Genomic DNA, 25,572 nt, shown 5'->3' with positions numbered 1-25,572 from the left:
CACTGCAGCCTTGAACTCCTGGCCTCAAGCAATCCTCCTGCCTTAGCTTCCCAAAGTGCCGAGATGACAGGCATGTGCCACTGTGCCTGGCCTCTTACTCCGTTAGACCCGACTGCATGAGTTGCCCCACTGTGCCGTAGAAGGGCTGTTAACAGGGTGCCCCAAGGGTGCTGCCTCATTGTGGTGGCCAGACCACAAGGATGGAGCTTGCAGGACTCAGCAGATGTTGGTCAGTCTACAATTGCCAGAGTTGCCTTACAGTCTGTACCTTTTCTCTTCAGCCTTTGGAGTTACCAAGCCCAGCACAGTGATCACTTCGAATTCAATTCATCTAGTCTTTTTCCAGTTAAAACATTTTAATTCAAGATTTACACAAGAGAGCAAATGGAACACCAAAGTTACTCTCTTAGAACCAAATATAGATTGTTTACCTGGGAAGACACTCTTACCCTTGTAGTCCAGTGTTACTGTGTGTCACTAGTCTTGTCAATATTACAGTAAGAAAAGATTGTAAAGCGAGAAAATGTATATCGTTTGTTGATTATACAACATAAACACATGAGTATGTTCTCCTCAGGAAAAAAATGTTAACAATTCAAACATGAATGAAGCAAAAACGTCCCTTTGAACTTCCTACTTCCCAGTCCAGCTGTCCAGCAGAACTTTCTGTGATGATGGAATAGTTCCTTTCCTGCTTTGTCCAAAACAGTAGCCGCTAGCTACGTGTGACTGTTGAGCTCTTTAATTCAGCTAGGGTGGCCAAAATGTTATTTCAACTAATTTAAATGTAAATAACCACATGTAGCTGATAGCTATTGCATAGACAGCATAGTTGCAGTCCAAGCCCTTCCTCGTGGACACCACTTTTGCCACCTTGTATGTATCATTCTAGACCTTTCTCTTGTGCATGCGTGTATGTGGGCACAGAAACATTTATTGTGGGAATTTGTTTACACATAATATATTCTGTACATAATGTTTGGCTTCCTTTTTTTCCTAAACTATACTAAATTAGAACAAATAGCACTGGACTAAAAATAAAGAATGTGTCAGGTTCCTAGTTTTAGTGTAATTATTTGTTTGACTTTGTAATTTAGACTTTTTCTGTCTCTATTTCTTTATTCATTTTCTCTGTTATCAGTAGGCGACTTTTTAATCTTCTGGGGGTTTTTTTGGTTGGTTGGTTGGTTGGTTGGTTGGTTGGTTGGTTGGTTGGTTGGTTTTCCAGACACCAGGCTGGAGTGCAGTGGTGCCATCTTGGCTTACTGCAGTCTTGACCTCCCAGGCTCAACCAATCCTTTTACCTCAGTCTCCTGAGTAGTTGGGACTACAGGTGCACGCCACCACACCTGGCTAATGTTTTTTATTTTTTTGTAGAGACAGACTCTCACTATGTTGCCTAGGCTGGCCTACAACTCCTGGGCTCAAGTGATCCCCGCTACCTTGGCCTCCCAAAGTGCCGGGATTACAGGCATGAGCCACTGAGTCTGGTCTAATCTTCTGTTTTCAAGCATTGTTATGCTTGTTTGCTTGATACTTGGAAGGATTGATGAAATAATGTGTGATGTTTTCTGGTTTTCCAGAAAAAGTTCTATAGTCATCCTATCATTTAAGGTGCTATTATTATTAACACAATAAGCACTATAGATGAGCACTGTAACAAATCAGCAGGCAAGTAATAATATACAAAGAAAATCTATAGCTTATCAGTCTTTGGTAAATGCATTACTTTTACAGCAGCAACTCCCCGGCCCCTGCCAAAAAAACAAACAAACAAAAAAAACCTTTAAGGGTCCAGGCGCAGTGGCTCATGCCTGTAATCCCAGCACTTTGGGAGGCCGAGATGGGTGGATGACGAGGTCAGGAGTTCAAGACCAGCCTGACCAACATGGTGAAACCCCATCTCTGCGAAAAATACAAAAATTAGCTGGGCGTGGAGGCATGTGCCTGTAATCCCAGCTACTCAGGAGGCTGAGGCAGGAGAATCACTTGAACCCAGGAGGCAGAGGTTGCAGTGAGCCGAGATCACACCATTGCACTCCAGCCTGAGCGACAGGGCGAGACTCCGTCTCAAAAAAAAAAAAAAAAAAAAAAAAAAAAAAAAAAAAGTTTAAGCTTAAGAATTGCCATTTTTCTTGCTTTATCCTTTTTTATTCACTCCTGGAGGACTTCTTGTGATGAAACAAGTGAACGTTTCCACCCATTCTCATACTTCACCCCAAATTTAATTGAATTAAATATATTTTTTCTTTTTAAGAATTAGGGTTAGCTTACCTTTAAAGGAAGGTCTCCTGCCTTGTGACCCATTTTGTGTATATATATTTACCCAAAAGAAAGGAAAGCAGATGACCACACCAAGACTTGTACTCAGTATCCACAGCAGCTTTCTCTTTAATGGCCAGACATTGGAAACAACTCAAATGTCCCATTAATGTGTGGATTGAAAAACTGCGGTATAGTCATCAAATAGAAGTGAACTATTAATGCATAAACAAAGTGGTAGACCTCAAAATAATTGCATTGAGCAAAAGAAGCCAGACACAAGAGTATATGTTGTATTATTCCATTTAGATAAAACTCTAGAAAATATGAGCTAGTCTGAGGTGATAGAGAGCAGATCAGTGGTTGCCTAGAAATAGGAAGGGACAGAGAAGGATGGATGGATTGCACAAGGCATGAGGAAGCTTTTGGGGATAATGGATATATTTAATATCTTAATTACAGTGATGGTTTTATGCCCAAACACATAGGTCAGGATTCATCAGGTTGTATACTTTAAATATGTATTATTTATTTTACATAAATAACTCAATAAAGCTGTTTAAAAAAAGTAAGCTTAGGCATAAGCCACAGAAATATTTTTGCTACCAGTAGAAACCACATATTTTCATGTTCCATTAGAGTTATTTTGTATATATCTCAAATATTTTTACTCTTCCCCATCTCACAATTATGGTAGTTATTTGATCCACTGCTGGCTCTTGTTATAAATGTATGGATAAAGAAGCACTTTGTGTTACTGTAAGAAATACAAAATTTATGTTTCCAAAACTTGGTAATTTTTGTAAGTGATTCCCTTTGGAAAAAAGAAAAATAAGTATCCTGTTACTTTCTAAAATCTGGTCTCTGGAACAACTATGGTACTTACACTGTTTCTAAGTTAAATTTTCAAAGTTACCTTATTTTAATTAAAAATACAACTATTGCTTACACATACAGAGCACTGAATTTAGTGATATTATACATATCCTACGTTTATATCTTTAAATGTTTTGTGATAAACAGTTAGGATGTCAGAATTATTTCTGTGTAATAGCAAGTCACCTGCTTTGAGAATATGACTTTGAACGTAGCCATCATGTGCTCTTTTGCCCCAGGTTGTAGAAATGTACTCTAGTGGAGGAGACCTTCACCTAGAACTCCCAACGGGTCAACAAGGAGGTACCAGAAAACTGTGGGTGAGTTGTAACCTAGTTTTCTCTTGTGTGTGCTCCCATGAAACCGATTATTCTTAAATTAGAAAATATTTAACTCCTTAATAGGCTTAACAAATATGGATGACTTCTCTTTAATCGTTGTCTTAATGTTAATTTATGTCAAGTATATATGAAAATTGGAGGAGGAAAGAATATAAGTAGTAATTTTTGGAAAGGGCAGTGAGTAAAATTGGTGGGAGTTCTACCCCACTACATGGAAAGAAAGTAACTTCAGCTATTCTTCCTCCGAATTATATGGGTAAAGTTGTCTCTGAGTCTGATAATTTATGATGTGCTTTACACATAAAAAAATGTAAATGATTAAAAAAATGTAGGAAGCATTCATTATGTTTTTGTTTTGTTTTTGAAGGTAAGTAATTGAATGTTCAGATTCACCATTGGTAAAGGAGATGGCATTTGCAGAGAGAACCTAGTCAAGTGCCTGCGATAACTTAGAAAAATTTTAATTCTTGAAGGTGATCTGTGTTCACCTTCAATATTGTTGAATATTTAACAATATTAACCAAATTAAAGAATATGTAAGAGAACCTTATTTATAAAGATTCTTGCCATTTGTGAGTTTTAAAAATGTTTACCATGCTTTAATTCAAGAGGGAGAAGGCAATTGTGGTCAATTCAGTTCCATATCCAGCTCACTCAGATCACTGCTCATCTGTAATGGAGGAACACAAATTTTACAACCAGGAGTAAGGTTTGAGGATCAGAGTTTCTTTATTAACTGCTGTTACACACACACAGCCTCTTGATTCTGTCTTCTGACCAGTCTTGACCACAGAAGAGATGTGGAGATTATGTTTTTAGAATGTTAATATGAACATCTAGAAACAAATTTATCAGCCAGTTATTTGGTTAATTCCCAGAATATAGAAACACAACCAGCAAAAAGAAATATGCAATGGACAGTTCATTTATATCCTTTCACAAAAATGTTTCACCTTGAAATTGTGGTGTTTGAGGGAAAAATCATCTATAAAACAATCCTTCAGAGGATTAAATTCAGACTATTATATCTGTATATATTATTCTAGACAGAACTAAGAACTTCCTGTGAAACATAATTGGTATCTAATAAATAAACCTAAGAGAATTCAGATTTTTAAATAGTCAAGAGTGATAATGATAACAGAGAATAGCATGTTTTTATAGTCCTAGTGGCTGCAAAAAAAGATATGGTAGTTCTTATTCCTACAAACCTAGACTGAGAAAAAAGCCAATGGGCTGTGACCTCACCTCCAGCCTATTTCGGTGTATAGGTGAAAACCCCAGAGACCAAGTCAACTCCCTAGAGCTGGGGAGTGGATGGTCCATCCCTCCAATCTTAGGAGGGTCCCAATCACCTGTTTTCTACTTTGGGACTAAAAAAGAGAGTAGGGATAAGTGAAGGCCACTAAGCTGTAGAACACAAGAATCTCCTAAAATATGCTGAAAGGTTTGTGCAGAGAAGAAATTCAGGCAGTCCCAGGGAGCCATATTGTTCTGAAACCAGGAAAGAGATTACTCCTCAAAATTTTTTTTCCAGTAAGTCTTCCTTTTAGTATATAAATGTTCTCTCATTACGGGACTGAAAATGTATGCTGTCTTACATGAATGCAGTTGGTAAACTGTGGATTTACTTGAGAAGCTTTGCATTGTTAAGTTTTCCATGAAAGAGCAGTGTAAGCCCTGCTGGTTATCATTTATGAAGGTTCTTGTGGACTTCTAGAAAAGTATTTACCTCTGATGGTGACATTTCTGTTGGTTAAATTTCAAGACTGAGTTATATACCCAAACACCACTAACTAGCATATTAAAAAATAACTGATTTTGTAGATTAGTTTTACCTTTTAATGGTGATTTTGTAACTGACAATTTGTTTTCAGATCATTTGACTTCTTTTGCTTTGCCTACCTTACATATCGTATTTCATCAATTCTAAACAGCACATTTTTCACATTTTAAAGTTCTCCAGAAATGGAGTGTGTGTTACATATTGGTTTAATTAGCAATGCATTTTTTTTATTAATAGGTATATAGAATACTCATCTTTCAGTCAGTGTCATCCAGTTCAATAAAAAATGGTGGTTTTGCTACATTACAAAAGCTGTGCTACATTATGGTCTGTTAACTTGTCAGGAAATTCCTCCTTATGAAACCAAGGGAGTGATGAGAGCCAGTTTTTCATCTAGAGAAGCAGATAATCACACAGCCTTCATAAGAATAAAGACTAATGCTTCAGACAGCACAGAGTTTATCATTCTTCCTGTTGAGGTTGAAGTTACAACAGGTTAGTGGAAAACTGATGAAATCGAAAGTTGTTTTGTTTTCAGTATAGCTTACTCTGGCAAAGTGAAAAATAATTGTTGACTTTTCTTTTTTCCAAGCTCCTGGAATTTATTCCTCAACTGAAATGTTAGATTTTGGTACACTAAGAACACAAGGTAAAAAAATCTTTTAAAAGAGTCTTTATGGAGTTTTTTTTTTTTTTAACCCCTGTATTCAGTGCTGAATGGCTCTACTATGTAATTCAGCTTTAAACATTATTTCTCAGTTGGTTGCATGATCTTGTACAAATCTCCTTTTCAGACTCAGCGCCTTTACAGGTTTATACCCCATTCCGCTGAGGGGTGGGTGGCATTGCTTAACAGGTTGGAAAACAAGGCCATGGGATAATTTAAGTCATCTAAATGGAAGATTGAGGCAGAAAATAGTTTTCTAGTTTCTTAATCCAGTTGCTCATCAGTTCAGTTACGCTGAATCTTGATTTTTACTTCTGGATTTTGTTTAGATATGAGTTATTAAATTACATTTTGACAAAATGTTGAAAGTTTGTTGCAGCTGTTCAGAAAACTCAAATTCTGAAATTAAAAACAACTAAGTAAAGATTTTTGCTAAGGAAAAACTAAGAGCACTTGTAATTTGGGATGTATATGGACTATATATAATAATATGTAGTTAAGATTGAAGACCATATGTTTAAAAATTAGATTTGCTGTTAGTATATTTTTACATTGTAAATTATTAATTTGCTTCATTATGTTTTGCTGGAAAGCTAAAAGATTAGTAATGTCTGACTTCACAAAAAAATAATATTTGGGGGGCTGGGCATGATGGCTCATGCCTATAATCCCAGCATTTTGGGAGGTGGAGGCAGGCAGGGCACTTGAGGCCAGGAGTTCAAGACTAGCCTGGCCAACATGACGAGACCCCATCTCTACTAAAAAAATAATACAAAAGTCTGCTGGGCATGGTGGTACATGCCTGTAATCCCAGCTAGTCAGGAGGCTGAGGTAGGAGGATCACTTGAACCCAGGAGGCTGAGGTTGCAGTGAGCCAAGAATGCCCCACTGTACTCCAGCCTGGGTGACAGAGCAAGATTCTGTCTCATTTAAAAAAAAAAAAAAAAAGTATATATTTTGGGGTTTTCAAAAATCTGGTTTAAGAGGGAACAGTTCTTATAATACACAATGTCCTTATGAGTAAAGCAATTACCACCTAATGTTTCTTTTTATTAATCTTATTGTCATTGTATTTCACAAATTGATAGCTTCAATTTGATATCTTATAAGGTAAAGATTCTAACTTGGCTAAAAAGCACCTTTTTAAGAAATATTTCTTTTCCTCAATTTTAACAGATCTACCAAAAGTTTTAAACCTTCATTTATTAAATTCAGGAACAAAAGATGTACCAATAACAGTAAGTTTTTACTTCTTTTTTCCCCTAATTTATATATTCTTTGTTTTTAAATGTATGACAAAGTTAAAAATAATTAAACCCTTATTCTAAAATAATTATATTTGGTGATGACCTGGTGACACTTTGGTTCTAAGTGTGATGTGAGAAACCTGTTCTGCCCCAGCCACCCGGATTTTAAGGATGAGAGAGAAATGGGCAATCTTTTCAAAGTAAGTTTGAACCAAAGTTCATGAGTTTCTTATACAGGCACAGTCATATAAAAGGCCTGTTCTGATAAATCCTAAAATCTGTGGGCCATGTGTATAGAAAAACAGGTTATAAGGATTTCATCAGATTTGGTTGTTGGAGTTAAGGTATGGGCAGGAAAGAGGAAGAAGAGTCAGATGAATTGGGAAGAAAATAAGCAAAAAAAATGTTGTAGGTAGTGGTAAAGTGCTGTTAACACTTGTCACAGGCTCCCTAACTAGCAGTTATTGAGTTACCGTAGGCAGCACATTATAAACTAAGGCCCTCTCTCCCTCACACATACATACAGAGTAAGTAACTTTTAGGCCATATGGAATTGAGGTGCCGTTAGATAGTTTTAGGAAAAAAAGGGATATCTAAGTTTTGCCTTGGCCCACAACGTCTCTCCCTGATGAGGTCCCCAAGATATATACATGTGTAATCATTATATAGGAAAATAGGACATTTTTATTATAATTTGTGCTGATGCCAGAAACTTAACTTCAGTGAACTGACAAAATGAAATATAGATCATGTGGGCTTGAGATTTAAGGGACCTTTGTCCATCGATGGCCATACCCAGATTTTATCACCAGCTGGTGGAGTAGACCAAAGAGAGAAGAATATACAAACCCCAGCGAGGAAGCAAGAGATGGTCTTCCCAGGTAACCACATTCTGATGCGCAGTGACCTTCCTCACTAGTGGGACCGGGATGCAGGCATTGTCTTCATATCTGACCTAGCATTTCTCCTAGATGGGAAAGTGCCTTTACTTAGCCCAAGCAAACCAGCCTAACTTTTTACGTACAATAAATGGACTGAAACAAGTATCTTTTTCAATAAACATATTATAGGAAAATGAAATTGGCAATTAACCCTAAGAATGTGAATGAAGAACTAGTACTCAGGTCACTTATGACATGGAATTAAATAGGCCCATGTTTGTCCTTTTTCTTATTCACTAAGGAGTTTTAGGATATATTGTAAGTGAACATTTTTGCTCTTACTGGGTCAGGCACTATGCTAGTACTGCTATGTAATAAATGTATTACTTAATACCTATATGGTGCAGTGGTCCTAGTTTTCTAGATAGGAAAGCTGAGTTAGAGCTGCTTTTTTTTTTTTTTTTTTTTTTGGAAGTGACTTACACAACTATAAAAAATGCAAAAATAGGCCAGGCATGGTGGCCTCACGCCTGTAATCCCAGCACTTTGGGAGGCTGAGGCTGGTGGATCACTTGAAGTCAGGAATTCAAGACCAGACTGGCCAACATGGCGAAACCCTGTCTCTACCAAAAATACAAAAATTAGCTGGGCATGGTGGCATGTGCCTGTAGTACCAGCTACTCAAGCTGAAGCAGGAGAATTGCCTGAACCTCAGAGGTGGAGGCTGCAGTGAGCCAAGATCACGCCGCTGTGCTCCAGCCTGGGCAACAGACCGAGACTGTCTCAAAAAAAAAAAAAAAAAAAAAAAAAGAGGTATGTGAAACATGAAAGTATATTATACAGTGTCACTTAGCAATCACATCTTTATGAATATATCATTTTAATTGCATAGTCTATTTCTGTTAAAAACCTATATATCTGTTAATATAATACATCTGTACCTACATCTGTACCTACCTATGTGTGTATCTTTTATAATATCCAAAGCCCAAACTCTGCCAGTGTTTTGGTAGTTTTCTCTTATTCCCGCCTTCATTCACCCATTCAATAAATATTTAATGAACATCAACTGTATGCTAGCTGCTATGCTGACTGAGAATACAGCAGTGAATCAGACCACTGGGGTTCCCTACCCCATCAAGCTCACTGTTTATCAGGGCTCTCTGGAACTCTGGGAGATATTTAGATTTTATTCTAAGTGTAATGGGAAATTATTACAGGATTTTAAACGAGAGTGACATCATCTGATTTATGTGTTGTAAAAGGTCACTGTAGCTACTTTGTGGAGAGTGAACTTACAGACATGGAAGGGCAGAAAGCAAAGGAGACCACTTGGGATCTGATTTAGCAATCAGCCTGAGAAATGATGGTGGCTTAGATTTCCCACCTTATCAGCTATGGGGCAAGCCCACCTACCGTGGAAACTGAGTTTTCAGAGCTCTTCTTAAGGTTTTCCCTGTGTGTTTCAGCATTTTCTGCATAATTCACCAGGCTTAGAGACTATAGATATTTAGAAAGGTTCCTGTCTCCTTTTGTTTCACAAACATAGAATTTTCAGGATTTGCTAAGCAGTGCTAGAAGCTGGAGATCTTTTTTTTAAATTCCCCTTCAGGGAATTCATTCTCTTTCTAAATATAGGATTACTAAAGCAAGCAATTCCAAATAGAAGTTCCTCAACTGCTAACAGACAGGATGCGCAGGTCCAAACTCTCCTAATATGTCTATAATGCAACTTTGAGAAAATGGCTTTCCTCAGCATTTACAAAACATTAGTGCTGTATAAATGATGGAGTAAGTTTGCCTGAGATGCCTTCAGAGGAATGTTTGCATGAGGTTTCCCTTGGTAATTAACAAATCGGAATCATAATATCAGCTTAACATATGCTTTAGTGAACTCATACACAAATTATTAGAAATACAATGTTAAATGCTGAAAGTGCTTTTTTCCTTATTTGCTCAAGTGCTTTTATAAGCAGTTTTAGAATGTTCCGGACCGTTGAATTTCACTTGAGGGTTACTGAGCATTAGTTGGGTCTGAATGTTGTGAGAAAAGCCTAGAACTATATTTAGAACATATGCAAGCTTGCGAACTGCCTTTCCTGGGAAACTTGCAATAGTTTTATACTTCTTGATTATCTTTGAGTTAGCAATAGTCACTAACAGGTTGTTGTATAAATATGCTTACTACAAGGTGTTGATTGTGTATGAGTTGTCATTTAAAGCCACCAGAATGGGCCAGCTACTTAAGTGTTTTGTCTTGGGTTTGTTTGTTGGCTTTTTGTTTCCCTGGAAAATGGGTTTTAACAATTTGGGTTTGGTTTTTTTTTTTTTTTTTTTTTTTTAACTGATAATGAGTGAAGAATTCAGACCATTTGTATAAAACATGAGTTTTCAGTTGAATATTTCTTTGTTATTACTGCAGCGTATTTTAAGGTAGCAATACTAATGTAAAGTTTTTATCTGGTAAGGAAAATCTTAAAGTGGTGTGTTTCACATGAAAAAAATTTCATCAACTATTTTAAATTCTTACTAATAGTGACTATATTTTAACAAACATCCTTGCTTTGCTATTTCTGGCTTGGTGTTGTACAGGCTGATAACACTCAAAAAATATTGTGCTTGTTGTTGATGAACTCCCACTTCTAGCCTTTAAGCATATTGAAAAATGGTCAAGCCTTCATTGTGTGTCCAGAGTTGGTTCCTTCTGGTGGGTTCTTGGTCTCTCTGACTTGAAGAATGAAGCCATAGACCTTCGTTGTGAGTGTTACAGCTCTTAAAGGTGGTGCGGACCCAAAGAGTGAACAGCAGCAAGATTTATTAAGAGCGAAAGAACAAAGCTTCCACAGCGTGGAAGGGGACCCTAGTTGCCTCTGCTGGCTTGGGTGGCTAGCTTTTATTCCGTTATTTGGCTCCCCGCCATGTTCTGCTGATTCGTCCATTTTACAGAGCGCTGATTGGTCCATTTTACAGAGTGCTGATTGTTGCATTTACAATCCTTTAGCTAGACACAGTGCTGACTGGTGCATTTTTACAGAGTGCTGATTAGTGCATTTACAATCCTTTAGCTAGACACAGAGCGCTGATTGGTGCGTTTTTACCGAGTGCTGATTGGTGCATTTACAATCCTTTAGCTAGATACAGAGCGCTGATGGGTGCATTTTTACAGAGTGCTGATTGTTGCATTTACAATCCTTTAGCTAGGCACAGAGCACTGATTGGTGTGTTTACAGTCCTCTAGCTAGACAGAAAAGTTCTCCAAGTCTCCACTCAACCCAGGAAATCCAGCTGGCTTCCCCTCTCAATCCCCCCTCTAAATAGGACACCCCAACTGCTGTTGGGAATTGGGCAATGATCATTCTAGCTACTTCCTACTGGATAAGGGCAAAGAAGGGACCCTGCAGTGGTAGTGTCCTCCAGAGGGGAACTGTCTAGGCCAGTCAAAGGGCCAGTGGGTCGATCCAGGGGTCCTTGGTAGAAGTTGTTAGTTGAGCTTATTTGGGGTTCCATTTGTAAGACCATCTGTAGCTTGATGGCCTCGATCGTAGAGGAAACAAATTTGACAAGGAGATTAAAAATACAGGGCCCAAAGGCGAGTAATAGCAAGATGGCTGTCACAGGACCTAGAAAGGGAAGATGCCATGTTCCCCAACTCCAGAGGTTGGTATAAGAGTTGGAAAGGCATTGAAAGAGTTTGAAAGGCGTTGTCTGATTTCAGAAGCCTTTTCCTGTAAACGCTGTAGTATCCCTGACTGGTTAGTGTAAAAAAACACTCTTCTCCTAAGAAGGTGCAAAGTCCTCCTTTCTCAGCAGTGAGGAGGTCTAGGCCTCAGCAGTTTTGGAGAGTCACTGCTGCCAAAGAGTCTATTTGGGATTGTAGAGTAAGGATAGATTTCATTATTTCTTGCAAACTGTCTGAGAAATCCTTTGAGAGTTTGTGGTAGTAGGATAATGATGTAGATAAACCTGCTATTCTGGTTCCTGTAGCAGTGGCCATCTCTAACCCTATAAGTAGGGGTGTTAGTTGTATGGCCCTGTGCTGAGACACTTGAGCTTTGAGGGGCACAGACCCTATGTCTGATTTCCATAAGATTAGAAGTTAGGATAATATATGTTACACTTTTTTTTTTTCATAATTGAGATTTCATTGGTTGAGGATCGTACAGACATTTCAATTTGTACACAAATCTTAACATACATAACGAAATTCTAAAAAGCCATGTATTGTAATTATTTTTTAAAGTTATTCCAGTGACTTTCCAGCTTAAAATTTGGAAGCAAATTTTCCTTAAGAGGCTATCAAGTACCAGTATCTTCACATGTTGGTCAGCTGTTACATACAGCCCACCAGTTCACAACTCAATAGCACGTACACTACATATTCAAATTTGTAATCTTTCACAGCACAGTAACAAAGTTATTAGGAAAACAGGACTACCACAACCAAAGATGTTACAGAGTGCACACAATTCTGGCAGAGAGAGCCATGATCAAAGAGTGGTTTTCTTTAGGAAACAATTCTACTAAAAAACAACATGGTAATAGAAGTAATTTAAAATGTTCAAGACATTAAATGCAGGACTGACTCCATATTGCCATTTAATATGCTTTGTATTATAGGATATAAAAACTAACCCCCCATCTATGGAATGTTAAGCTGACACCCGAGACAATCAGAGCCTCCCATAATTCAATATCCCACACTATTTTCTGGTTGTACCAAAAAATAAACAACCAGCAAATGATTTCACCTCTTAAAAAAAAGCATTTACACTTAAAAAATGGGATGAGGTGGGATTCCCTCCTTCTTAAAAATGTTTCTAGAGCTACTAAAAAACTTGCATTTACAAAATAGTTGATAAAAATATTCCTCTGGATTGTACAAGAAGGGAGACAGGGACCACTGATAAGACATGGTATATGGTTATTAATCAGACTTGGCTTCTTTCTCTCCTGCTTCATCAGAGGCTGGACTCTCCTCAGTTTTCGTTTCCCCATTTTCTGCAGGTAAATCTTCTTTAGTTTCTTGGTTAGCCACTTCGGCCTGTTTTCCCTTTGCTCCCCTTTTCCCTTTTGTTTGCACGTTTTTGTCTGAAGATTTATCCTTCGCTGCTGCCTTTTTCGGCTTTGCTTCCACTTTTGCAGGAGGTTTAGCTGACAACCGCGCCGATCTCCTCTTGGGCTCTTCCTTGGCAGCGGCTTCAGCGGAGCTGACCTTCCTCTTGGGCATCCTGGCGGCGGGGAAGGCGCGTGCCAGGTGCCTGCGGGCCGCGGCGCGCCAAGAGCCTTCACGAAACTGGGCTGCCTTGCCGCTGCCACTCCTCCCCAACACTGTTAACTTTTAGCAAACTTTTGTTGAAAACCTTGTAAGTTTGGGATTTTAAAATTTTTTTTTTTTTTTTTTTTTTTGCTTATCACTTACTGAATACCCATTGTGTCTTTTTCCCTTAATTGCTTGGGAGGAACCATCTATCGTCCTGTCCTGAAGGGAGTTCCTCCTAGGTCTGGTCGGACCTTTGTATAGTAATTAGTTAAGATTTAGATCCCCTGTTAGGAAACCTGCTGGGTTAAGGATTTTTGATAGGAAGGCTACTGGTTGTCAGTGACCTCAGTGCTTTCAGGCTATGTCCTTGTTTACTCTGACAGCAAGGTGGTATTGGAGTGTTATAGGGTTACAGAGAAGACCTTCAATTATCAATTATAGGTTTTAAATTTACCCTGGCTTTTAAAGGACTAGGGTACACTTTTTTCTTTACTACTTCCATTTCTTTTTCTTTCTCTTTGACTTCTTTTTTGTCTCTCTTTTTTTCTCTTTCTGACTTCCTCTTTGTCTCTTCCCCTCTCTCACTGTTTCTCTTTCTCTCTGACTTCCTCTTTGTCTCTGTCTCTTCCTCTCTCTCTCTGACTTTCTGTCTCTTTCTCTCTTTCCTTTCTGCTGGTCTTTCCCTGCCTCTGCCAGCTGCTTATGCTGCTGTTCTCCCTTCTCCTTCCCCTTTTGATGGCTTCGGCGGTGTGAGACTGCCACCTCTTTGGATTTTTGTACTGCGTGCAATAACTCCATAATTTCCTTGTGGTATTTAATGGGGGTTCCCCTAGAGGTTAGGAACTCCCTTTCTTTCCATATTGCAGCATGGGCATGTAGGAATAGATAAGCATACTTGCTATCTGTATACACACATTTATTCTTTTTCCCTTTCTCAGTTTTAAGGCTCAGGTAAGTGCCACTAGTTCTGCTAACTGGGTGCTGCTCCCTAGGAGAAGAGGCTTACTTTCAAGTACGGTTGCATCATTAACTATGGCATAACCTGCCCTTCATATCCCATTTTCCACAAATGAACTTTCATCAGTATATAGGTTAAGTTCAGGATTAGCTAAGGGGACTTCTAAGAGATCATCTCAGGTGGCATAAATCTGGACTATAATTTGTCAGCAGTCATGCTCGATTGGTTCCCCATCCTCTGGGAGAAAAATGGCAGGGCTGAGGGCCACACATGTACATATTTGAAGCACCGGTTGCTCAAGGAGTAGCATCTGCTATCTAAGTAGGCGGTTGTCTGATAGCTATAAACTTCCTTTGGCACCTACTATGCCATTTACATCATGAGTAGTCCAGACAGTGAGATCCTTTCCTTGTATTATTTTGATAGCCTCTGACACTAAGATGGCCACTGCCACAACCACTCATAAACAGTGAGGCCAGCCTTTTGCTACTACATCAGTTTTCTTACTTAGGTATGCCGCTGGTTGTGGGGTTGTCCCACGAGTCTGAGTAAGGACTCCAAGAGCTATCCCTGCTCTCTCTCTGACGTATAAAGAGAAGTGTTGTCCTGTGAGAAGGCTTAAAGCTGGAGCTTGTAGTAGGGCCTGCTTTAAGGTTTTGAAGGCTGTTTCTGCCTCTGGTTCCTATTCTACTAGATGAGTATCTGCCCTCTGGGTCTCCTTGATTAGAGCATAGAGTGGTCTGGCCATCTTGCTGTATCCGGGGATCCATAGTCAACAAAAGCTGGTGATGCCAAGGAACCCCCGTAACTGTTTTGTCTTAGGGTGAGGATAAGCCAGTATAGGCTGTATTCATTCCTTGCTGAGGGCACTGGTCCCTCTAGCTAAGATTAGGCCTAGATATTTGACCTGCTGTAGGCAAAGCTGGGCCTTCGACCTAGATGCCTTGTACCCTTGATTAGCTAGAAAGTTCAAGAGATCTAGAGTAGCCTGCTGGCATGAGGCTTCCGAACTGATAGCCAAAAGTAAGTCATCCACATACTGAAGGACCAGAGTGCCTGGACTTGAGAAGTGGCCTAGATCATGGGCCAGTGCCTGACCAAACAGATGAGGGCTATCCCTAAACCCTTGGCATAAGACCGTCCACATAAGTTGGGACATGTGGTCTGTGGGATCCTCAAAGACAAAGAGAAACTGGGAGTCAGAGTGCAGGGGAATACAGAAGAAGACATTCTTGAGGTCCAGAACAGTGAACCATTCTGCTTTCTCTGGTATTTGAGAGAGCAGGGTATAGGGGTTGGGTACAACTGGATATAGAGGAATTACTGCCTCACTGATGAGTCTAAGATCTTGCACTAGTCTAAGATCTCCACTGACCATTCGGTTTTTGTACTCCTAGAATTGGGGTGTTGCAGGGACTGCTGCATTTCCTTACTAAGCTTTGAGCTTTTAAATGTTTAACAATATCCTGTAATCCTTTATGAGCTTCAGGCCTTAAGGGATATTGCCTTTGATAAGGAAAAGTAGTGGAGTCTTTTAGCCTGATTTGAACTGGGTGGGCATTTTTTGCCCTTCCAAATTGTCCTTCCAATGCAGAGACTTCAGGGTTGATTCCCTCCTCAAGTAGGGGACAACAAATGGGTAACTTGTTCCCCATATTCATGTAGGTAATAGCTCCAGCTTTGGCTAATATATCTCTCCCTAATAAGGGTGTGGGACTTTCAGGCATAACGAGAAAGGCATGTGAAAAGAGCAAAGTCTCCCAATTACAACTCAGGAGGTGGGAGAAATACCTGGTTACAGGCTGTCCCAGGATTCCTCGGATGGTAATGGACCTTGAGGACCGTCGTCCAGGACAGGAGATTAACACTGAGAAGGCTGCACCAGTGTCCAGGTGGAAGTCAATTTCCTGGCCTTCAATGGTTAAACGTACCCAGAGCTCAGTGAGGGTGATGACATGAGCTGGCACTTGCCCCGGGCACCCTCAGTCCTGCTGTTGGATTATCTGGTTGGGGGCTTCTGGCCTAGAGAACCTTTGCCCTCTGGGGCAGTGTGCCTTCCAGTGATTGCCTCAGCATAGTGGACATGGGTGAGGGGGTGGCTTATTTTTCATTGGACAATCTTTTTTAAAGTGTCCTTGTAAACCACACTGATAACAAGCCCTACCAGGTGATTGGCCTGCTCAATTTTCTTTCCTCTCTGAACCACCAAGGTTTGTTTGAGGGCCTTGACTAAGGCTGTGGCCTTTCTCTGATCTCGCTTTTCCTTTTGGGCCTGTTCCTCTTGGTCCCTATTATAGAACACCGAGGTTGCCAGGATTAATAATGCCTCCAGATTTTGTTCAGGGCCCAGGGCTTGCTTTTGGACCTTCCTCCTGTTATCTGTGGCTGATTGGGTAATAAACTCATCTTTTAGGATCAGTTGACCCCCAAGGGAGTTGGGTGACAGGAGAGTATATTTCCTTAAGACCTCCCGTAGCTGCTCGAGGAAGGCAGAAGGATTTTCTTCCTTTCCCTGAGTTATGGTGGACATCATTGAATAACTCATGGGCTTTTTCCTAATTCTTCTTAGTCCTTCCAGAACACAGGTCAGCAGATGTTTACAACTCCAGTCCCCATGATCTTGAGTCTAGATCCCAGTGGGCATCCATACTGGGGATGGCTTGCTGACCGGTAGGGAATTTGTCCCTTTCTTCAGCTGTCATTCTATCATTTACTTGGCTAAGACACCAGGTATCTCCAAATTCTTGGGCTGCAGCTAAAGCCGCATTTTTTTCATTAAAGGCCAGGGTTTGATCTAACAATAGCATGACATCTCTCCAAGTGAGATCAAAGGTTTGCCCTAGACCATGTAGGACATCTGTATACCTATCAGGATCATTTGAAAGCTTCCCCAGGTCTGCCTTGATCTGCTTTAAATCAGAGAGGGAGAAGGGGACAGGTACCCAGGTTGGGCCAAATTCCTCTCCCCCTACAGCTTGAAGGGGACATAACCGATAGCCCGGGGAGTTTTGTGGTACCTTGGAGATTTCTTTGCTTGTTTCCTTCTGGGTGGGGGAAATTAGAGGAGGCTTATCATTAATAGGAAGGTGAACTATAGGGAGGCTAGGATATGGGGGTAAGCTGAGAGGTCCTCCTGTGGGATGTAAATTGCAAGCTTTGCATAGTTGTGGATTCTCCGTCAATGAAAAGAAAGCTTAGAGATAAGGTATTTCACTCTACTTGCCTTCCCTCTTACAGAAAAGGTCAAGCTGCAGGATAGTATTATAATTTATACTTCCCTCAGGTGGCCATTTTCCCCATCAGAGAGAGAATATTGGGACCAGGCCGTAGTGCAGAAAAAAATGAGCCACATCTTTTTCAGGGTTTATGGGTCAAATTGGTCCCAATGGCTTAGGATGCATTTCAAGGGTGAGCCTGTTGATGCCTGAGTGTTTCCCATCTGAAAGACAAAACTGCCTGTGGTTTTGGTTTGTTTGTTTCCCCCCAGCCCAGGCACCCACAACAGTCCCTGGACCCTGCTGATCGGAATAGTTGCACTCACCAACGCAGCAGCAGAAACACTAGTTTTCCTCCTAGACCACAAGGAGGACCAAGGAAGGTTGGATTTAGTGGCCCTTACCAACACATTCTCGAAAACCTGCACCCTTGCCTGTCCTCCTATACCACAAAGAGGACCAAGAAAAATCAGATTTAGTGGCCCTTACCGACGCATTCTCGAAAACCTGTTAGAGTTCTAAGCATTCTCCTGTTAGTGTTGGGACTTTACCCCATCCTATAAAGATGTTATGCCCCAAAAATGAAGTGGAGGGCCGTACCCTGAGCAAGGGAAGGGATCTCCAGGGTTGGAAGAGTGACGCCTTTTATCCTCACTTCTCATCATGTGAAAAGGAAGGATATCGTTTCTGAGGCTCCCCGTATCCTAGCTTCAGGAATAGCTTTTGTTAGGCCTGCTAGTCTGAGGAGGGATCCTAAAATTCCAGGTAGTCCCCCTGCCCTCGAAGGGGCTTTGGGCAAAAATTATGTCTTTGATTGGTGAGTCCAGGTGCCTAAAGGAGGGAATAGAGTCCTGGAGTTTATACTGGAAATCATTCTTATAGGAGAAACTAGAAAGGCATCAGAGACAGAGAGTGGTTTTTAGAAGCGGAACTATCCTTGGAGAAGAGAGGCAAGAGGAAGTTTGTCTGACAGGCATTAGGACCCAGGGGGCAAGGGTCAGGATAGATAGGATAGATAGGCAAGTCTCGCTTGGGCAACATAACTTTGAGAATTCCGCTCATGGCCACAGTCAACCAACTTTTTGTCGGGATCCCGGAGCTGAATGGCTTTCCTCTCTGTTGACCCTCAGCTCAGCCCAGAAGTACAGGAAAAGTGGAAGATGGTTCCAGGCAAACCAATGCTCCCAACTCTGAAGAGTTGGGGGTTGTTAGCCCTTTCCCAGAAAGCCTGACACCTGTGTCTTTAGTCCGGTGGCTGTGCCAGTCGCTTTTAACTGGCTGACAGGTGTCCGGTATTTAGCCCCCGAATTCTAAGGAAAAATAGGACAGAATAGCAAGTGAAAGGGGTCCAGTGGTGCTCACTGCTTGGCGATAGTCCCTTCCTGGTCACCAAAATGTATCCCATGTGGGTCGCCAAAATGTGTCCGGAATTTCTTCCTTCCAGTGAGTTCGTGGTCTTGCTGACTTCAGGAGTGAAGCCGCAGACCTTCGTGGTGAGTGTTACAGCTCATAAAGGTAGTGCAGACCCAAAAAGTGAGCAGCAGCAAGATTTATTGTGAAGAGTGAAAGAACAAAGCTTCCACAGCCTAGAAAGGGACCCAAACGGGTTGCCTCTACTGGCTCGGGTGGCCAGCTTTTATTCCCTTATTTGGCCCTGCCCGCGTCCTGCTGATTGGTCCATTTTACAGTGTTGATTGGTGCGTTTTTACAGAATGCCGATTGATGCATTTACAGTCCTTTAGCTAGACACAGAGCACTGATTGGTGCGTTTTTACAGAGTGCTGATTGGTGCATTTACAGTCCTTTAGAGACAGAGTGCTGATTGGTGCATTTACAATCCTTTAGCTAGACACAGAGCACTGATTGGTGTGTTTACAATCCTCTAGCTAGACAAAAAAGTTCTCCAAGTCCCCACTCAACCCAGGAAGTCCAGCTGACTTCACCTCTGAATTGTTGCTGGATCATATTCAGTAGAGCAAATGAGGAACTTCAGGAGCCATATCTGTGGAAGTCCTCTGCAAACTACAGAGCTTCATGTGATCACCTGTAACAAAGCTTGGCCTCAAGATAAAGTGGCTCATTTGTGGGGGGAAAAAAAGCAAAATTAACTGACTCACAAAATGTTGTAGATGATGGGATCTCAGAAAACAACCCATTCCCCTGGCTGGGCTGCTTTTTTTTTTTTTTAGAAGGAGTCTCACTCTGTTGCCCAGGCTGGAGTGCAGTGTCCCAATCTTGGCTCACTACAACCTCCGCCTCCCGGATTCAAGTAGTTATCTGCCTCAGCTTCCCGAGTAGCTGGGATTATAGACACCCACCACCACGCCTGGCTAATTTTTGTATTTTTAGTAGAGACGAGCTTTCACCATCTTGTCCAGGCTGGTCTTGAACTCCTGACCTCATGATCCACGTGCCTTGGCCTCCCAACGTGCTAGGACTACAGGCATGAGTCACCATGCCCAGCCAGGATTTTTTTTACAGGTGGGAAAAATGAGCCCCAGAGTAGATGGGCAGCTGACTCAAGCTCACATCTCTAGTTAAACATCCTTTTATTGCATAAAGTGATGCCACTGGATTGTCACATATACTTCTGTACTGATTTCCTCTCTTTGGAAAAAGTATTAGCATGGTAATATAGTATAGTATAACCAAATGGAACTTTTCCCAGTTTGTCTTACAGTTCAAACTCTACTTTGTTTTATTATTAAAAATACACACACTCACCTTTCAGTGAATGAAGAAATTTGTATTTTAAATGTCGCTAATAACAGCAAACTTATTGATAAGTAAAAATATTACATGAACAAATCATTCCCAGCCCCAGCTAGAGATCCAAAAGCAATTGAGAAGGAGTTCTTGAAGAAGAAAAACGGAGGAAGTTAAAAAGAGTTAAAATGCCAAGAGAGCCTGAGGTCCACAGAACCATCCTTAGGGCCTTCATTTCAGACCCTGTGAACGAACACTTGCTGACAGCCCAGGACTAACCCACCAATGGAAAGGGAGCTGCTCTAGCAGTGTCTTTGATCATTATCATATAATCAGATCCGTACCCTGTGATCCCACACACAAGGCACGAGGATCATTCTCTCTCTCCATGCTCTTCTCAGGTGCTTATCGCACCTTCAAGAGACTGCCCTTTGATGTTCTGTTGAGGCAGATTTCACCTTTATAAACGGGCGGAAAAGAGCAGGCAGGGATCCAGGGGGAAGAACATAGTGACTTGCTGGATCTGACTGTGCTCCTGTTAAGGGGCTTGCCTGATAAGTCTCACAGAAAAGGACAATGTTCTTTTCTCCGGGAAATAGCAGGCTTTGACAAGTTTTTAAAGCCCTTCATAATTCAACAAATACAACCCACGAGGGTTCAGACCAAGGTTCAGATTCAAAGTAATCATAAAGGAAGATTATTTTTTAATCAAGAGTTGTATACAGTACCACGATTTTGTGATACATGTTTGTGCAACAGGATGTCAGATGAAGGCCCTGCACCAACCCAGGGATTCTTGTTTCATTCCTACCTGTTGATGCCTAGCTATTAAAACATCAATATTGGAAATTTCATTAGTAAAACAGAGAAGGAGGTTGGAATCTTTTACGTCCCTTCCAATTGAAAGGGCTTTGTGTCAGTGAGGAAATAAAAAATAACTGTACCTTAAAATGTATTTTTAAAAAGCATGCTCTCCAAGTACAAGGTTTTCCTGTTTGTTGTTATTTAAGCATTCTGGCTTCAAGCTGAACATCCCTGTGGGCTGCCTCAGTGCTCAATCCCATAGCCAGCAGTATAGCCCTCTCTCTGGATAGCAGCATGCCTCACTCGCAGAGCCATGTCTAGAGAGAAAGAGAAAATGCCATTAGAAATGAAGTGTGCAGAACTACCTTGGCACTGACACACCAGCTTCCAAGTTCATGTTTATTCTTCACCGTCATATGGTTCAGATATTTCCTCAGTATTGTGAATTTCTTTAAGAGGGATCCATAAGTCTTTTTCATGTCGCCTCCACTGGTGTGTGAATTAGGCATTCATTTGGAAAATAAGTACCTTTTTTAAATGCTTTATGTACTCACACCAAATGTAATAGATTCTTACACTTACAAATCTGTCATGCTTATTCTCTGGTCATTTTCTTTTATAAAGATATTCTGATGAAATTAATTTGAAGTTTTCCAGTGTGGCCTACTCCATTTAAAGGGACAACATAAGTTAAACTTTTCAAATTTAGAGTCCACTTTACTTTTCCAGTATACTTTCCAGTATAAGTATAAGGCAACTGAACCATTAGTCTGAAATAATGCCATGTATGTATTTTTGTTCTCTTTGCAGAGTGTTCGACCTACACCACAAAATGATGCTATAACGGTACACTTTAAACCAATTACATTAAAAGCATCAGAAAGTAAATACACCAAGGTTGCAAGCATTAGTTTTGATGGCAAGTATTCACCATTTTCTCTCTGATAGAGTGATGTTATTTTGATAAACTAGAAAGCATCTGTATTAACGTCTTAATATAAAAATCCAAACTGTTTTACCATCAGAATTTATATTACTGCTTAGGTTGATCCCCCCCCGCCCCCCCCCGCTGTAAACCATCATGAACTCTTACTTGATTGATTCATGAGAGAAAATACCACAACTTTATAAAGCTAAATCAGTATTAGCAATAGAAAAGCACTAGCAAATACATTAGGATTGGAATCATTTCCATAATCTGGGCTAGCCTTTTTACACATATTATGTATTATAATTCATCTTAATTATGAAGTTACAATATATTTGAAGTTCTGAAACATGTTTGAATTTGAGAGCAAAAATAAAAAGTATTCTTTGTAACATTTTCATATATTGGCTTTTATAGGCAAAGCAGATCCCCTACTTAAGCTAAAATAATAGACTTTATGACAGAATTGTCCAGTTAGCTATTATTTCTAATGTGTATAGTATACATTTTGATACTTGAGGTGTTAAGCCAGACTATACCATTTTTATAGCATGTTTTTATTTAGTTTTGCCTACTTTAATTGGAACATTCATTGAATTTGCTGTCACAACATTTTTAAAATAATGACTTAATGGCTGCTTAACCATACAGATAATTAAATGAGAATTGAACCTCTGAACAGGGCTTTTTTCATAGGCACCCATGCAACTGAGTAGCTGCTATTAAGCTTAAACTTTGGCTTTATGATAAAGCCATCTGTGCTCAGAGTCCACATAGTAAAGCTCAGCTCCTCATCGGATGAGAATATTTGATCAATGAATGTAGGAGGACACTGGCACACTTCACACAGTGTTTATGAGAGTATCTATGCCTGCTGCTCACTGTGGAGAGTTCTAGGGAGGGTCTGGAGCAGCTACGGAGGTGGGGCTGGCCTCAGGGTTCATCCTGTGAGCTCAGTGAGGACTCTCAAGGAATAAAAATCACATAGGCAGCATACTTCATGATACAGTTGTCAAGAAATAGTATTATAGAAGACATTAATGCCACAGTAATTTCTACATTTGTGGTAAAGTGTTCTCTATGCTGCTGAGAGACCACATTCATGCCTACCAGTGTCAGTATCACGAGGTACATTGTCTTCCCTTACAGAGGAGGAGGCGGCTAATTTTTGTATTTTTAGTAGAGACAGGGTTTCACCATGTTGGCCAGGCTGGTCTCAAACTCCTGACCTCAGGTGATCTGGCTGCCTCAGCCTGGCAAAGTGCTGGGATTACCGACGTGAGGCACTGCACCCAGCCAGGATAAGAGCATTTAGGACCCACCCTTCACAGATGTGCCGGAAAATTCTCCACATGGTCTGCAAGGGTGAAGAGCTGCTCTGCAAGGGTGAAGAGCTACTCTTCTCTAGCTCCTGTATTGACCACCCACTTAATCTTTCCCTTCTTGAGATAAATGCGATGTCATTAGTGTTGGTTCTTCTGAGATCGTAGGCTCTAAGATAATTGTTTCTTAAAGAAATATGTAAAATTAAATAACAACAGCAAAGGGAAAGCATCTTTAAGAGCAAATGCTACATTTCTTAAAAGTAGGTTTTTAATATCATGTGAAAATCCCCCCACCATTCACCTCTCCCACTGCCATGCTGGATCCCCACACAAAATACCTCTGAGATTGCTGTGAAAATCAGTCAGGAAGTGTGTGTTATTTAACTTTTAATATTGTTAGAATGCACCTTATATATGTATTAACTCTGCAGTGTTCATTTATCAAGCATCTTTCTCATCAAAAGTTATTCTTCATGATTTTCAACAGAATTTTCTTGAGCTTTTTGACCACTTTATTTGCTATGTATGATACAATGTCATGAAATGCTTAAATGTGGCCCTTGTAATCAGTCTTACGTCAGAACAAATAGTGAAAAATTGAAAGCATCCAGAGATGGCTAACTAGCAAGCAGAGAAATAAGAGGCTGAATGGGAATTTTTAAAATGGAAAGTCTGTGTCTGCCATAGTCAAACACTAGATGTCATACCATTTCCTTGTTCTTTTTTGTCATGAGGTTGGATGACACACATTTGCGGAACTCACATATGAATTCTTCACATAAATGGAAGTGTTCCTAAAGTACTCTAAGAGGATAAACATAAACAGCTTCTTTATTTGCTTTGAAAAGAACCATCTAATGGGTACCTAGATTGGACCCAACTGAATCAATTTCTGTAATTCCTTATTTATTTATTTATTTTTTAATTTTTGTTTTTTTGGGTCAGAGTCTCGCTTTGTTGCCCAGGCTGGAGTGCAATGGCGCAATCTCGGCTCACTGCAGCCTCCACCTCCCAGGCTCAAGCGATTCTCCTGCCTCAGCCTGCCAACTAGCTGAGATTACAGGCACGTGCCACCACACCTGGCTAGTTTTTGTGTTTTTAGTAGAGACAGGGTTTCACCATGTTGGCCAGGTTTGTCTCGAACTCCTGACCTCAGGTGATCTGGCTGCCTCAGCCTGGCAAAGTGCTGGGATTACCGATGTGAGGCACTGCACCCAGCCAGGATTATTCAAAACTGCTATGAAATCTGAAGTTTTTACTTCATCTAAGATGAGGACAATATAATATGATGACAGGAGGGGATTTATCTCCTCTTATACCATGAGTTTTAGGGTTGGCTGGTTTTTGAGAAGAGCTCTGAATTCTTGACTTTTCTTATACCATGCTACTTTATTGGTGATAGAGCAAGACTTTGGCCATACAAGAAATGTTATTTCTTTCTCAGTTCAAGTGTAAATCAGCAGGGCTAAGTGGGGGGTAATTTTGCCTCCAAGGGGATATCTGGCAATGCAGAGAGGCATTTTGGTAGTCACAGCTGCAGGGATGCTACTGCCGTCTAGCAAGTAGAGGTCCGGGATGCTGCTAAACATCCTACAGTACACACAACAGCCTCCGCAACGAAGAATTAATCTGGCCTAAAATGTTAACAGTGCCAAGGATGAGAAATTCTGCTGTAAGTAAAGCCAAAGCCTGTGGCTACAGCAAAGCAGCTTAGGTACAGTGTTTTACCTCCTGAACCATGCTCACCAGCTAATTCCTTATCTGCTTATCTTATTACAGGAAATATAAAACATTTTCCCCCTTTTGTATGAAAAATGTGATGTTTCATTTAAAATGTTATAAAAAGTGTTCTGTTGGCCAATTTGGAAGCTCAACTTTTTTTTTTTTTAAGATTTTGTCAATTTACATAAATTCACTAATTCTCTTTGGTAGTAAAAGGTAACAGAGATTATTTTTTATGCTTCCTTTCAGCATCGAAGGCAAAAAAGCCATCTCAGTTTTCTGGGAAAATAACAGTTAAAGCAAAGGAAAAGAGTTATTCTAAACTTGAAATACCATATCAAGCAGAAGTTTTAGATGGGTGAGTTTCTTTTTAAAATAAATTCTATTACTTTTTACTAATCAGTAAATTATATTTTCCTGCTAAATGACCTGCAGAAATACTAGCCACGTTCACATAAACTTGATGGAATTATTTTTTGAAAGAACAGCCCCAACTATAAAAGAGAAAACCTCCTATATTTTGTTTATATTTTACTTTTTTAGAAGAAAAGGGTAAGTGGGATGATAGGATTTGGGCTTAAATGAAGACTTAAT

General features: G+C 40.3%; 1 protein-coding gene and 1 pseudogene across 8 annotated transcripts in view, besides 1 other annotated feature; one reads left to right on the top strand and one right to left on the bottom strand.

Annotated features, from left to right (window-relative positions):
- The window catches only part of TMEM131 (transmembrane protein 131), a 239,613-nt gene that overhangs the window by 155,414 nt on the left and 58,627 nt on the right, over window positions 1–25,572 (top strand). For all 8 annotated transcript variants that reach the window (XM_047443844.1, XM_047443843.1, NM_015348.2 and 5 more), the window contains 6 exons: window positions 3,378–3,458; window positions 5,610–5,760; window positions 5,858–5,914; window positions 7,109–7,170; window positions 21,814–21,922; window positions 25,228–25,336. In XM_047443844.1, the coding sequence (XP_047299800.1) occupies window positions 3,378–3,458; window positions 5,610–5,760; window positions 5,858–5,914; window positions 7,109–7,170; window positions 21,814–21,922; window positions 25,228–25,336 (569 nt within the window). The remainder of the gene's footprint in view (window positions 1–3,377; window positions 3,459–5,609; window positions 5,761–5,857; window positions 5,915–7,108; window positions 7,171–21,813; window positions 21,923–25,227; window positions 25,337–25,572) is intronic.
- HMGN1P36 (high mobility group nucleosome binding domain 1 pseudogene 36) lies at window positions 12,185–13,383 on the bottom strand (annotated as a pseudogene).
- Window positions 20,330–20,863: an enhancer, noted in NCBI's record as "NANOG hESC enhancer chr2:98436135-98436668 (GRCh37/hg19 assembly coordinates)". NCBI's record gives its function as "activates a minimal SCP1, AML or CMV promoter by ChIP-STARR-seq in naive H9 embryonic stem cells {active_cell/tissue: H9 hESC(naive)}" and the evidence as "EXISTENCE:reporter gene assay evidence [ECO:0000049][PMID:30033119]".

This window comes from Homo sapiens, chromosome 2 (assembly GCF_000001405.40).
Source record: "Homo sapiens chromosome 2, GRCh38.p14 Primary Assembly".
Taxonomy (NCBI): domain Eukaryota; kingdom Metazoa; phylum Chordata; class Mammalia; order Primates; family Hominidae; genus Homo; species Homo sapiens.
This window is presented reverse-complemented; position numbering and strand designations above follow the sequence as displayed.